The sequence below is a fragment of the Homo sapiens genome, chromosome 10 (genome assembly GCF_000001405.40).
Source record: "Homo sapiens chromosome 10, GRCh38.p14 Primary Assembly".
Lineage (NCBI taxonomy): Eukaryota > Metazoa > Chordata > Mammalia > Primates > Hominidae > Homo > Homo sapiens.
Genome location: NC_000010.11, coordinates 74,968,073 through 74,982,079, shown reverse-complemented (window position 1 = coordinate 74,982,079; position 14,007 = coordinate 74,968,073). Strand labels below are relative to the sequence as shown.

At 37.2% G+C, this 14,007-nt stretch overlaps 1 protein-coding gene across 35 annotated transcripts in view; it reads right to left on the bottom strand.

Annotated features, from left to right (window-relative positions):
- Nucleotides 1-14,007, bottom strand: part of KAT6B (lysine acetyltransferase 6B) — a 207,689-nt gene that overhangs the window by 50,545 nt on the left and 143,137 nt on the right. For 12 of the 35 annotated variants that reach the window (XM_047424927.1, XM_047424923.1, XM_047424929.1 and 9 more), the window contains 7 exons: nucleotides 12,305-12,420; nucleotides 11,979-12,060; nucleotides 9,441-9,573; nucleotides 6,626-6,681; nucleotides 4,643-4,764; nucleotides 2,741-2,856; nucleotides 152-293 (listed from right to left, as the gene is read on the bottom strand). The exons of 1 other annotated variant lie outside the window; for it this stretch is intronic. In XM_047424927.1, coding sequence (XP_047280883.1) covers nucleotides 152-293; nucleotides 2,741-2,856; nucleotides 4,643-4,764; nucleotides 6,626-6,681; nucleotides 9,441-9,573; nucleotides 11,979-12,060; nucleotides 12,305-12,420 — 767 coding nt within the window. Of the gene's footprint in view, nucleotides 1-151; nucleotides 294-2,740; nucleotides 2,857-4,642; nucleotides 4,765-5,749; nucleotides 6,682-9,440; nucleotides 9,574-11,978; nucleotides 12,061-12,304; nucleotides 12,421-14,007 lie in introns of all 35 variants that reach the window. 22 more of the 35 variants (XM_047424912.1, XM_005269664.3, XM_047424913.1 and 19 more) reach the window with 5 other exon arrangements.

The window sequence follows — 14,007 nt, the reverse complement described above, 5'->3', positions numbered from 1 at the left end:
TCCAAAACATGGAGATGTTTTAAAGGGCAGTCTGAATTTCAGTGCCAAAATTAAGTATACTTTGTACCTTCTAAACACAAATCAGCACATAGTCAACAATTAGGAGTACTAGATTTCAAAAAGCTGAATTTTTTTATTTACACGCGCTTACCTCAAATACTGAAAGGTCTTTCCTTCGGTAAATTTCATTTGCTGGAGGATGAAACCATCCACACTTCTTGGAGTGTCTTAGCAAAATATTTTTACTTTTCATATATTTAAGACAGAATTCACACAGGTAAAGCTTTGGTAATCTGTTAAAGTTTAAAAATCATAGAATCTATCAGATAGATTATACTGTTGGGGGGAAGATTAAATATTGTTCAATTTTCTCTACATCATAAAAAGGCTGTATAATAACATTGGAGGCTGGGTGCAGTGGCTCACACCTGTAATTCCAGCACTTTGGGAGGCTAAGGCAGGCAGATCACCTGAGATCAGGAGTTTGAGACCAGCCTGGCCAACATGGTGAAACCTCATCACTACTAAAAATGCAAAAATTAGCTGGGCGTGGTGGCACATGCCTGTGGTCCCAGCTATTTGGGAGGCTGAGGCAGGAAGATCGCTTAAGCCCATGAGGCGGAGGTTGCAGTGAATCGAGATTGCACCACTGCGCTCCAGCCTGGGCAACAGAGTGAGACACCGTCAAAAAAATAAAGAAAGAAAGGAAAGAAAGGAAAGAAAGGAAAGAAAGGAAGAAAGGAAGGAAGGAAGGAAGGAAGGAAGGAAGGAAGAAAGAAAGAAAGAAAGCCAGCCAATAGTAAAGACAGAATGTAAAAACAACCATACATTATTTTTTAATATAATCCATAATATGTGCTCCCTTTACTTTGTGAACAAATAATTTGTTTCCTTAAAAATATCCTATATAAAGAAAGCTTTACAGATGTGGAACCACCACCCTAAAAAATCAACTTAATAAGGATATCATCCTGTCAAGGGACCAAGCATATTTTTCAAAATTCACATTTACTATCTTATTTCCAATTATATATGGTTAGTGGTATAGATATAATATCTTACTCAGAAGTGAATTTATTATTTTAAACAATCTGCATACATATGAGGCTGAAAAGTCCTCAAACTTAGTTGTTACCATTTCCACCTCTGGAAGAGGTAACTTTAAAGTTATTATCAGAGATTTATATATGGTCTAAATGCAGTAAATAGCACGGCTGAAAATCAAAAGACCTAATTTGTTTTCTACCAATTCCACTGTTACTTTGAGTAAAAGACAAACACCTCTCTTCCCTGCTGACTTTTTCTCCACCTTAAAAATCAGAACATTTTTTATTTCCATATCTTAATGAACATGGCTGGTATTTATAAGAAAATGTTTAGAAGCACTTGCAAGGTCTTTGGAGTATAAGAATGGGGAAAAAGGTTTTCAAGAGAGAGGCAGACACAGGTGAGACTACTTTCAAATCTTGCACTTATGTACAAATTTTATTCAAATCTTTCAGAGCACATGGCTTATCATTACCTATGCAAATTAAAGCTCATAGTCTTTTAAAATTGTTCAAGAACACACAACCAAATGGTATAAGGAAGGAGAAACCAAAATTCTTGACTCTTATTTTGTCACTTAACTTTTAGAAAACACTTAGCATTTTCTCCAGTTACGTGATTGGCCAGACACTCACATGCTAACGAAAAAAAATAAGATCTATTCTATAAGAAAATCAAGTTTATAAATACTGAAAACTTTGCAGACTAAAAAATTTTTGAAGATACTAGTAAAGTGTACCCTGACATACTTTATGGAAGACATCTATTCTCAATGTACCCATTTTGGGATATATTCGTTCACAGGCTAATCTTGAGTTCAAGACAAACAAAAACTTGGATACCATTATTTTCTCCTTTTTATTTTTTATTTTTTGAGATGGGATCTTGGTCTGTCACCTGAGCTGGAGTGCAGTAGTGCAATCTCGGCTTACTGCAACCTCCACCTCCTGGGTTCCAGTGATTCTCCTGCCTCAGCCTCCCGAGTAGCTGGGATTACAGGCATGTCCTATCACGTCTGGCTAATTTTTGTATTTTTAGTAGAGATGGGGTTTTGCCATGTTGGCCAGGCTGGTCTTGCACACCTAACCTCAGGTGATCCACCCACCTTGGCCTCCCAAAGTGATGGGATTACAGGAGTGAGTCACCGGGCCTGGCCTTCTCTTCAAAGTCACAAATGTTCTAAAGTAAAAATTTGGGGAAGGGTCTCTTAAGACTACCCATTCCCACTTACTTTCTCCCATTTTTCCTTCTTTTGCTAAATTTCTATTAAAAACTTGAAAATAAAATGCCAGAAATCAGAGATAAAAGTAACAGGCCTAATTAAAAAATATAAAAGACAACTGGAGAAGAAAGTCTACCCAATAATTCACCATGGCAAATTTCTTTTTTTTTTTTTAATTTGGTTTCATACAAAACCAACATTTCCCCAATTAACCAAGGAAAGAAAGCACAATCTAGAAGCTAAATGGCAAAATTTATAATGCCCATGTAACTAAGGAGCATAAGGAATTTACCGAGAACAAGGAATACCATAAAAAGGTGCTGGCAAAAGCAATAGTTTGGGAAGCACTTGGCATTGACTACCAAAATTTATTTCCTAAAATCATCCCTAATTCCTGCTTTAGAATCAAGAATTTTCCTTTCTCACATATGTGACATTCAAGTTATACACCTGCCAGACTTATTCCATTACCTTGCATATTCCTGTGGGTAAGGCGAGGAGTACCAGGTTTGGATTTCATATTTACCAAATTCAATCACAGAAGGGTACCGGCCACAGTCTTCCACCCCACTCTCACACTCTATTTTCTGTCAAATAGAAAGAAAAGGAAAATAATAATATATATACTTCACTTACATTTTGGTTCTTTCACCAGTGACTATCAAAACTTATCAAGATCAGAACACTAATCTTAATTGTGAATTTGCATGGCCTTAAAACACTATAGACCCTTATGAAATAGGTTGGTGCAAAAGTAATTACTGTTTTTATAATTTTTTCAATGGCAAAAACCACAATTACTTTTGCACCAACCTAACATTACCTTTGTGTAAGATTCACAGCAAACGAATACCCTAAGAAACAATATAGCAAAGGAAATAAGTATGGTATAAATACATACAAATGTCGATAGAACTGGATTTAACAATCTGTTGTAACAGATTAGAAATTAGGTGATTATAAATGATGTGGCTATTACACAGGCTTATTTATTACAGAAGCTTACAGTTTCCTATTCCTCCACGAAGTAGTATTTATCACAACTGTAATTAAATAATCAATTGTGAAATCTGCAGCTTAGCATTTGTCTCCTCTTATTTCCCTTATTTCCATGTAGTAAGCCACACGAGGTTAAGAACTCTGCCTGCCAGATTCACTGTGGTATCCCTGGTGTCTGGTACAGTGCCTGACACAGAACAAGAATATTTCTTGAATAAAAAAAGCCAGTTTTACCATGTTGGAATGAAAAAACTTTAGAATTAGCAGTATCTTTCAGATAATGGCCTACTGTTCATGTTTACATATGAATGTCAGAAGTAGGCCAAAAAAAGATAATATTTAAGGACTTCGAATCTTTTTTTAAAAGAGGTGGCATCCTGCTGTGTTGTCCAGGCTGGAGTAAAGTGGCCATTCAAGGGCACAATCCCACTACTGATCAACGTAGGAGTTTTGACCTGCTCCATTTCCAACCTGGGCTGGTTCAAGGACTTCCAACCTTAATAACTGGGGGAAATCTGACATTTATCTTAGCCAAAGGAAAGCTGATACAAGGCATCCTGATAGATCGGGGCAGAATGAGGGTTGGAAATACCCAATAGCTCTGAAGGTAGAAACTGTCAGGAGTATTTAGCCCAACTGGCTGCTACTAAAAATAAAGCGTTAAGAGCCTACAGAAAACCCCTTCCCCACAAAACAGGAAGTGGGGTTGGGTAGGGAGTCTACCTGACCACACTGGTCATAGAAACCGAATGTAGTCACTGACACAACAAATTCACAATTCATATTAGATTCGTCTTTGAGAAGTCTGACAGCCTCACCTGTCAATATCTGGGTGGTAATAACTTAAGCAGAATTAAAGTGGAATCACTTAAAGAAATTACTGGACAATAAAAATAAAACTGACTACAACTGATTGTGAAACAAAATATTGTTTTCATCAATGCAGAAGAGCTAAAAATATGAGACATTTTTCATATGGCTGGCCATCTGTGTTGGAAGAAACATCGGTGAATTTAACAGTGATGTTCTTCTTTTTGTTAATGATTTTAAATTGTTATTTTCTAAATTTAGGCAAAACTCATCAGAAATCTATTCCTTCACACCTAGAAATGTTTTCCAAAATCTGCCTCAACTAATGCTACTCTGTTTTATTTTGTGAGACCAGCTGAGTCCATACCTACTTTTAAGAGTGGCGACAATTCTACTAAGTCATTGCTTTTGAATGTACAGTCAGTAGAAATGGGCATGATAACGGCTAAAGAATCACAAAGGATGTTGAAAGGGATTCTCTATAAAATCAACACAGTAATTCCATATTAATAGTTAGAAGCCACATCTTATACTTGCTACTACAATGTGGGATCCTCGCCTTACCTCCCAAGAAAGTTCCTGGGCCTGCTTAAAAACATCCAAATCCTCTTCAGTAACGACATCCTTGTTTCCAATCACATTTACATCTGCACTTTCTTGTTTGATGTTTATTTTTATTTCAGTATCTGTCATTTAAAACCAGCAGAAAGTGTATTCACTGACTTGAATCATGAGTAACCACCATATATTACCAAAATGGCACCAAATTAGCATACTGGGCAAATAGGGATTTTTTTTAAAGCTTTATAAATAAGCTTTTACATCTAAGCACTGCTCATAGATCCAGCAGTATCCTTTCCCTGCTATACTCAAATTTTTATTTGAATTTATCACTGTCATCTTTTTACAGCTTTAATAAATATATGAGGGAAAGTAAGAGCAATACAAAGTGAAATCATATTTTTCAACCAAGATTAGAAGTTTTATCGATGTCTAGTTATAGCATTCCCATTATCACTTTTGAGATAATAAATTCTACCACTTTGTCCAAATGACACAGTTTCGGTTTTTGTTTGATAAAGGGTAGCAAATGTAATGGGCCAATTTGTTCAATGAAATTATGAAATCCGTTTTCTCCCTAAGGTGGATACACACACAGACACACTCACATCCAAAAGCACACATCACAGAGTCACAGATCAGGCTTTGCTGAGACGGAAGCAGGATGAACTTTGTCATGAGAAAGCAATGGAGCAGAGGGAAGAGCTGAAACACCCCCTGTTGGAAGCACTGACAGCACACAACTGAACAGCGCTGTGGCTGCAGAGGTGACATGGGGGAGAGCATGGCAGAAGCATGGCAGTGGCTACTCATGCGGGACTACAAAGCCATAAGCAATGCTATGAAGGCATCTGGGGGTCCTAGTGTCACTACGAATGGAAATAAATAATAAAAGGTGGGAGAGTATTAGTTGGAAAAACAACATTTTGGAGGTTTAGTCAGCATTAGAAAAAGGTCAAAGTTTCACTGCTTCTGTATGAAAGTGAAGTGAGAACAAGAGAAATAGCTAAGACCTATGTGACAAATAGGAATTGATTGGTTGATTTTTTTCAGGGTTGGGGAGAAAGGGACGGGACGCAGGTTTGGTTGGAGCTTTGACCTTTTGCTTACCATCATCCTGATCAGGTTTAATCCTTCCGTCTGTCAAGCTCCCCTTCCCTGGTGAGGGGGTCCCCATCTGAGGGGTCACTTTATATTTTAATCTGCCTAGCATCCTGTGCTTTTTAAGGAAAGTTGTTCGCTTGAAGTGAGCAATTGCTTTAAAAATACTTCCTCTAGCCATCCCCCAGCTAGAGGAGGAGGAGTGAGAAATAAACCGACTTCTAATATCTCTTTTGCCAAAGAAGTGGGCTTTAGATTTTGCCGTGGAAGATAATTCAGTTTTACGACGCATACGTTTGGGTGGTGCATAACTCGGGTGTCCCTTTTTGCGAGACTGTCCCTGAGTGGTATAGATATGAGAAAGCCCATCAAAGAGTGCCTTCAGCTGGCTGTTAGTGGTAAGGCTGCTCAGGGAGGGCACACTGCACTGGCTGGAAGAACTCTGGGGAGAGGGAGAAGAAGTGGCCGTGCTGGACTTTTGTGAACTGGGGCTCTGACCGGAGATGGGGGTTGGGGGTGGAAGTGAAGAAGGTGGAGGTTTTAGCTTTTGTGTGGTACCTGTAGCCAACACATGAGAAGTGCATGACTGTTTCTGAGAGACCTTTTTCCTTGGACGATAGTGCTTTGAAAAGTCTATAATTTCACCTCGTGATCTGCGACCATCAGGTGATGGTGTAAAAAACTTAGTAAGGCCATCAATGAGCCCTTTGGTTTTCTTGTTAACTTTAAGTGTAGAGGCAGAAATGTAGGTGGAGGTGGTGGTGATTTTGGTGGTGGCACCAGGCCGAGTGGGGTCTGTAACAGCCAATCTGCTGCTTGAGTCCTTCCCAGATGCAGCATGACCAGATGAAGGTGTGGTACAGACTTTAGTCTTTTGACCCCTACCAGGTGACCCCCTTCCTGTGAATGCATTCATGGATCCTTCATCACTGGTTACAGACCTAGGCAGAAATTTAGAGAATAGTATCAGCATTTAATAAATAGAATTATAAAGGTATCTAAAAACAAATTTATTGCAACTAGATGCATTCAATGGGCTTAAACTTAAGAACTGTATTTTTTGTGTGTGCCACCACCTAGATGTTTCTCTGTTGGAAAGGCAGCAGCAACTGCATTTACATGTCATGGTTCTTCCAGGGCCCATCCACCAGGTACTGGAAGAATCCATGTGGACCCAAGGGCAATATAAGCAAGAAAAATGCTGAAGAGACTAAAAGAACACCCAATGCTTTAATTATAATTAAATAAAAACAAGCTATCCTTTGGTGTTGTCACAAGTAGTTATGATTTCCTGAAATGTCTTTTTTAAAGTATTAGGAGGAAATAAGTCATATGTGTTATCCAGAAGCAAAAGAAGAAGCTTATCTAATCTCTAGTTAAAAGTAATTTTTAATTCAATTTGCAAACTTATATAAATAGAGTTTGGATATGGCTATAAATTTGTACTTTTTTTTAAGAAAACATAAAAAGACATCCTCTTCCTCTCAGCAGTTTGTGCTTAGGATGGTAAGATAACCAATAATACTCTCTTAGGAGAGAAGACAATTAACTACAGCATAAAATATTGCTGAAAAAAGGACAACAATAGCAAAAAACTGAAGAAATGATTAAAGAAAAGCTACAGCGGGTCAGACATGACATGGAGAGTCTGGTGAAGAAGCGGCACATTTACCATGGTCATTATCAGACACTTGGCGTCAGAATCTTTGTACCCTGGTTCTGCCCATACTGTTGAGTAGTTCTAGAAACTAGAGGTCACTCGCTAACACAGCTGCTTACATGAACAGCGGCCGACTGTCTTCACCTCAGGCTAGGGTTTGCGAAGCTACCCATTTTGTAGCAGAGTTTTATACAATAGAGAAACATTTGCAGATGAATTATGACAATGCTGGGGCCCAAGAATGTACTTTCAAAATGATCAATTTAGCTAAAGGTGAATAATGACAAAATGAAAGCCTTAAAAAGATACAATACTGAATTATAAAAATATCTTAAGTAATTACAAATACAAGAGTATATTTTAGTGATCATCTTGTATACAAAGATTTAATGACCAGATTTCAGCTGTTAGTTGAAGGGGAGGTAGGTGCAGCTACCAGGCTCATCTGAGGTGGCTCTACTGCCAGGGACTCTGCCTGGCACCACCAATTCAGCCAAGTCAGGTGAACGCTAGAGATCTCTAGTGTCACTAGAGACACAGTGAGAGTTACCAACAAGGAACTCATCCAGGCAAAAATGTTTCACATCAGAAAGCTGCATTTGGATTGTATCTGGAATCGATTGCCCAGAAAGGATAATATGCTTATAAAGCATGTAAAAAGGAAAACTCCCTAGACTGTCTTAAAAATTCCTAAGCTCAAAGGACAATTTTGGACAAACAAAAAGTTAGGATTGGTGCCAGATGCAATTTTCAGCTGTGTCCTCTGTTTAGAAAGTTTATATCCTAATTTGGTTTTTTTAATTGGGCCCTGAGGATATGGACCCATGTTGGGAACAATGCTTACACAGGATGAATGCAAAAACATATAATTTCTACTTCAAATGATACTACCATGAAAGATTTTATTCATAAATGTTTCATGTTTGCCTCTAGAAATTTTTTCAAAATCTATTGAAAATGTCTACTGGTTAAAGGGTTTTTGCAAAGTTTCATAGAAAACTCTAGAAAGGAGCCTGCATTTCTTACTTCTTCTTAGGAGATAAAGGTGCGGGAGAATACTATTTTTCTGAGAGCAAATAAGATAGTGAGAGCAGCTTCAGATAAAATTAGGGGAAAAGGAGTAAGCAAGGGAGTGAGATTCTTGGAGTCTGTTCAAGGTGTGTGCAGAGCATGTATTCTTTCTCCATCACAATGACCCTTTCACTAAGCCTGAAAAGATGGTGGTAGTCTGTTGGTAGAACTGCTATAGATGTGCAAGTCTACTGATCCCATTCGTAAACACCTTAATGCTGATAGTCAAATCTATACTCTACACAGGTTAAAATAAATTCATTTCACCTCTTATCTTTTCTCTGCTTTTCCAACTAACTCCTGCTAAATGCTCTACTGGGCTTTAATGGCAATTATACAGCAACAAGATAGTGAAAATGGGGTTATCATAGTAGATTTCCAGGCCACTGCGAATATATTATTTTATATATATGTCTGCACTAGTGCAGTTGTCAAATAGTTCTGTCTAACTCTTCAGAGGTAAGTGGTCATCTGCAGGTTTTTCAGAAGCTCCTATTTCATAAAAGAGATCTTAAAAAGTGGTAATGCTACATTACTATCAGAAGAGAGAGGTATTTTTCTAAAATGTTATCTGGAGTGACAAAAGAGATTTGCTATAGACATGGACAAATCCCTCTCGTTTTAAAATTCCTATGAAAATATTTACATAATTAAGCTCTAATGCTCAGCCAGTAATAAAGTAGGCTGAATGACTGTTTCCAATTCTTACATTCTGCTTCCATCCTGCTGCTTGAAAAATGTCACTTAGTATCACAGCTACTGCCAACAGAAGACCCCAAAATGCCAATGGTAATTAAAAATGTTATTTTCAAAAAATTTCCACAGCTTATGCAAAAGGAAAAGTATTTTTCAACCCTTGAGTTTGAAAAAATGATGCCAAAAAACCCCTAAAGGAATCTGAGAGAATAACAATCACCTATATTTTAAAGCAAAACATAAATGATTTCTTTTGATAAGATCTCAACCTACAACAATCGTTGCTTTAATTTATTTTTCGGTCGTCCAATGGGTTTTGCATATCGTCGTTTTATTTGTGCAGCTTTCTCATGAAGTAGTTTTCTTCCCTTTTTCTTTGGTCTGCAGACTTGGCAAATCCACATCCCTGAATTAATATATATATGAGAAAAATATTTTAATGTTTCATTTTAAGAGAAGATATTAAATATAAGTTGTAGCTGTAATAAGCTGCTCAAGGATGCCTGTATGCTGAACTTTACTCCAAAAAATGCGTCATTCCCTTTGTCATTTTCCTTAGGAAGCCATCACTAAGGTCAATTTCCCTGGAGTGAAGGTGGTGAGGGCAGAGGTGGCCCCTCTCTCAGAATCCTTCCATGAAGCTGTTCCCAACATGTCATTAAGCCTCTCACCAACACATAAACACACATGAAAACTCGCCCCTGTCAGATATTATATCTTTTGATTTGAGGGAGACATTTTCAAATCAGTCCATTTTTGGAATTTCTAGAAGAAAAAAAAATTGTCTTATCATCTCTTTCTGGAAAGTTCCAACACTAAAAAAAAATTATCAGTATAAAATATAATTTTAAAATTTAAATAAAAGTTTTGAGTACTGCAGAACTACAATGATTCAAACTATACATCTAGCATAGAGAAATAGGTCAATGGATAAGAATGGAAAGACCAGAACAACCAAAGCCTACAGAAAAGTTTAGCATATCAAAAGGTCATATTTTAAATCAGTGGAGAAAGGATGAAATGATTCAATAAGCATGATAGAACAAATAGCTATCTATCTGGAAGAGGAATTATTTCCTATCCTTTACAAGAATAAATTCTAGACAGATGAATATTGTAATATGAAAAAATAAAATGTTATAAGTACCAGGAAAGATATGTGGATATTTATATAATCTAAGCATGACTGACATTTAAAACTGAAGCCATAAATAAAAAGATTCATGAATATGACTACACACAAAAAAAGAGCTTCTGCAAATCAGGAAGAAAAAGGTAAAAATCCCAAGAGAAAAATGATTAATGGATAAAAAGAGGTACTTTAGAAAAGATGATATACAAACAGCCAAGAATAAAACACAAGAAATGTTCAATCTGACTACTTAAAAAGAAATAATCAGACATATTTCTATTATCAAACTGGTAAAATTTTAAAAATAATAATACTCTAATCAAATCTAAGATACTGTATGATGCATCTGACTTCAAAAATATTAAAACATTAAAAAAATGTGTCTTAGACTCAAGGAGATATAGTAACGGTGAGTACTGGTCACAATACAGGAAAATAGGTATCCTTCTATACTGCTGGACAGCCTGAAAACTGATACAGCCTTTCATGTATCTAGCCTTTGATCCAACAGTTCCTCCTCTAGGAATTTATTTCAAGGAAATAATTGTGGATGGAAAAAATTGGAAACATTTGTAATATCCACCCTAAGGGACTGGTTAAATAAATTAGAGTTCATTTATATAGAGGGTTGGAAAATCAAATACCTCCAGGAAGGACCTAGATTGTATAATGTATGTGACTGAAGCAAATTGGAACGTAAGACAGCAGGGAGTAGTGAGATTGTGGCAAACTGGAGCACACACGCACCACCCAGAGGACTCAGATTCAAACTTGTAAAAATATTGTACCAACAAAGCATATCTGTGACCCATAGTTGCCAGGTTTGTAATCCCTGCTCTATACTATGGAGTTCTACATACTTATTAAAAACTATGTTTAGGAGAATATTTAATGATGTAGGGGATGCTTATAATCTATTAAGAGGGAGGAAAAAGTACATTACAAAAACATGTACAGAATGTTCCATTTCCCTTCAAAGGGTATGTGAAGGCAGAGAAGGAAATTTCCAATTCATTTTTATTTTTATTCCTTTTTTGTCTATCTGTACTTTTTAAATCTTCCACAATGTAAATTATGGATTTTATAATAAAAAGGCAAAGTTATTTTTAAATGTTTAATATATTGCAAAATGAGGGGAAAAGGCTGAGCTTAGCTGATTTACACAATAAACAGAAGAAAATCCACATTCCATCAGACACAATCAGCTATAAGATCATTCAGATGCTCGTGTTCAAAATATCAACTAATGGCCAAGAAAATGGTGATGGCTTCCTGTTGTAGGACTTTGGAGTCACTATCATCCTCAAAAATATAAAATTTGTTAAGCTCTTAACACTGTGCTGAATAATATGGAAAGTGTTCTAAACTTTTGACCTTAATAATCTAATCTTATTCTAATAGGGGAATGGTTTGGAGAGAGAGATGGTCTTTTCATCCCTGGGTCTGAATTAGAGCCTTTATTTTATATATATGTATATATATACACATATATATATGTATTTTTTTCTATGCTTTTATACTCCTCTATTCACAACCTGTGCTAAACTCAGAAGTATAGGGAAGGTGGGAGGGATGAAAAAAATGCTTAAAGAACCTGTATACCTCTGAGCTGTCAGACCTCAGGACAAAGCTAACCAATATGTAATAAAATACATTTTTAGTACAGTTTAGAAGTTCACCTTTTGGCATTCTGGAAAGTGGTGGGTCACAGCATTCCATATGAAATCCTCTATCACAGGAATCACAAAAAAGCATATTATCCTGTAATATAACATATTAGAGACTAATTGAGACTGAAACCAACTGTAAAAGGCCAAAAATTCTTTTGTTACTGGATTAACATTAATACAATATAAGGAAAGTGCACCAAGATCCTGGTTGCAGTTTGACATCATGTGTATTTAAAGCTTTAGAAAGAAAGTAGCCATACTCTATAAAAATGAAAACACCTTAACACTGGAAATTAGCGAGTTACCTGGAGGCGGATTACGGGAGCCATACTTACAGCATTTCTGCCTTGGACTCTACAGGCACTGCATGTCTTGCATTCGATGCACTGCCACCTTAAGGCCTTTACATTTGTTGTTAATTCAGGACAAAATTTCAAACAGGATGGGTGTCCTATGAGAATAAAAAGCAAATTGCTTGATGGGAATGGTGCCTTTGACTTTTTTAAACTCCCATTCCCTAATATTTAATAGATAGCTGATGAGGCTAGCCAATGAACCTTAGGAACTTGAAAATGCCAACAGATCAGAGAATCCGAATTACAGATTTTCCTTTCTGCCTTTTCCCCTTGCCTTCTTTCCCTGTATGTAACAAAATGACTGTACGAATGTTTTCCCTAAGAGAACTTAATTTATACCAATTCCAATCTGAAGCCTTTGAGAACTTGAAGATAACACAGGCTCAGGCATTCTTACTCCTGCACCTGTACTTGCCGTCTTCATCAACCACCATCTACCCAGGGGGTCCTGGTTTGCCACACACTGAGGGGAGTTGCCAAAGTTCAAACAATTCCTGCTCTCTGTGTGTGATGAAATCATAAAACTCAACAGATAACTAAATAAAAAATTGAGGCTGCTTAACATAACTACAGATGCCCTCCCCCACCCAAATCCAATAGCACACAAAGAACATCCCATTGCTGGGCTAGACAGAGGATATTCCATTGCCATCTTGCCCCTGGGTCACTGAGTTTAAACTCTGGAAGCAGGAGCAGAAAACAGTGAATTTGAGAGACAGAGTTAAGAAGCTGAGAGATCCAGGTTAAACAGGACCCACCAAGAAGTGTGGCCTCAGCAGGTTCCCCCATTTTCCTGTTTGGGGCACACTTTTCACCTAGCAGCGCTCCACACACCAGGTCTTACTGCTCACTTCACAGAGGAAAACTGGAGACCCTGAGGGGCAATGCCATTCAAAGGAGCCAGCCATGAGCCAGTGTGTAATAGATTCCTCCAAGAGGTGTGCGGAGCGTGAGCCTAGATTCTTTGGAAGGCTGTACAGTTTAAAATCTAATGGTCTTTTATCACATAAACCCGAAGAGATCTCCAAACTTGATTTTATTTTTTTAAACCTGGTCTTTAAATAGTAAGAACATTAGTAAATCCCATGTGAAAGAACTTACAACCAAGCTGCAAAGGAAACCTGAGGGGTAATAAAAAAAAGCAGATTCTGCAATTTCAAAACTGTTTTATAATTTCCTGACTTTGGCAGGCTCATTGTTTAAATATGTATTTTGGATTGCTGCCAAAAAGGTCCTCCTCCCTAAAGCTTAACAGGTGCTTCATAAAATTCCACCCACCAGGAGATTTGGCTTTTTGAAGTAAAAACATTCAAAATCAATCACCAATACCGTTAATAAAAGCACACTATTCCTGAGTTAAAAAAAAAAAACTCTAAACATCTGTATTTAAGATGTTGAGAAAATAAAATATTGTCACAGGATTATGACCTCAGGCAGGAGAGACACCCAGGCAGATGCATTTAACCTGTGACACTGTTCTTTTATGAGGCTTCTCTCATTCAAATGAATGCAAGGAAAAAGTCTGAATAGATAAAAATGGTATCAATCTCCTCTTTCTGCTCAGGAACGGCAAACAAAGACAGCTTGCTTGTCGACTTCTAAGAAGCACACTGAAGCGGGGAGGGGAGAGGTCTACTTTGATCAGAGCCCTCCCCTCTGTCCCCTTATATAGTGAGGAGGGT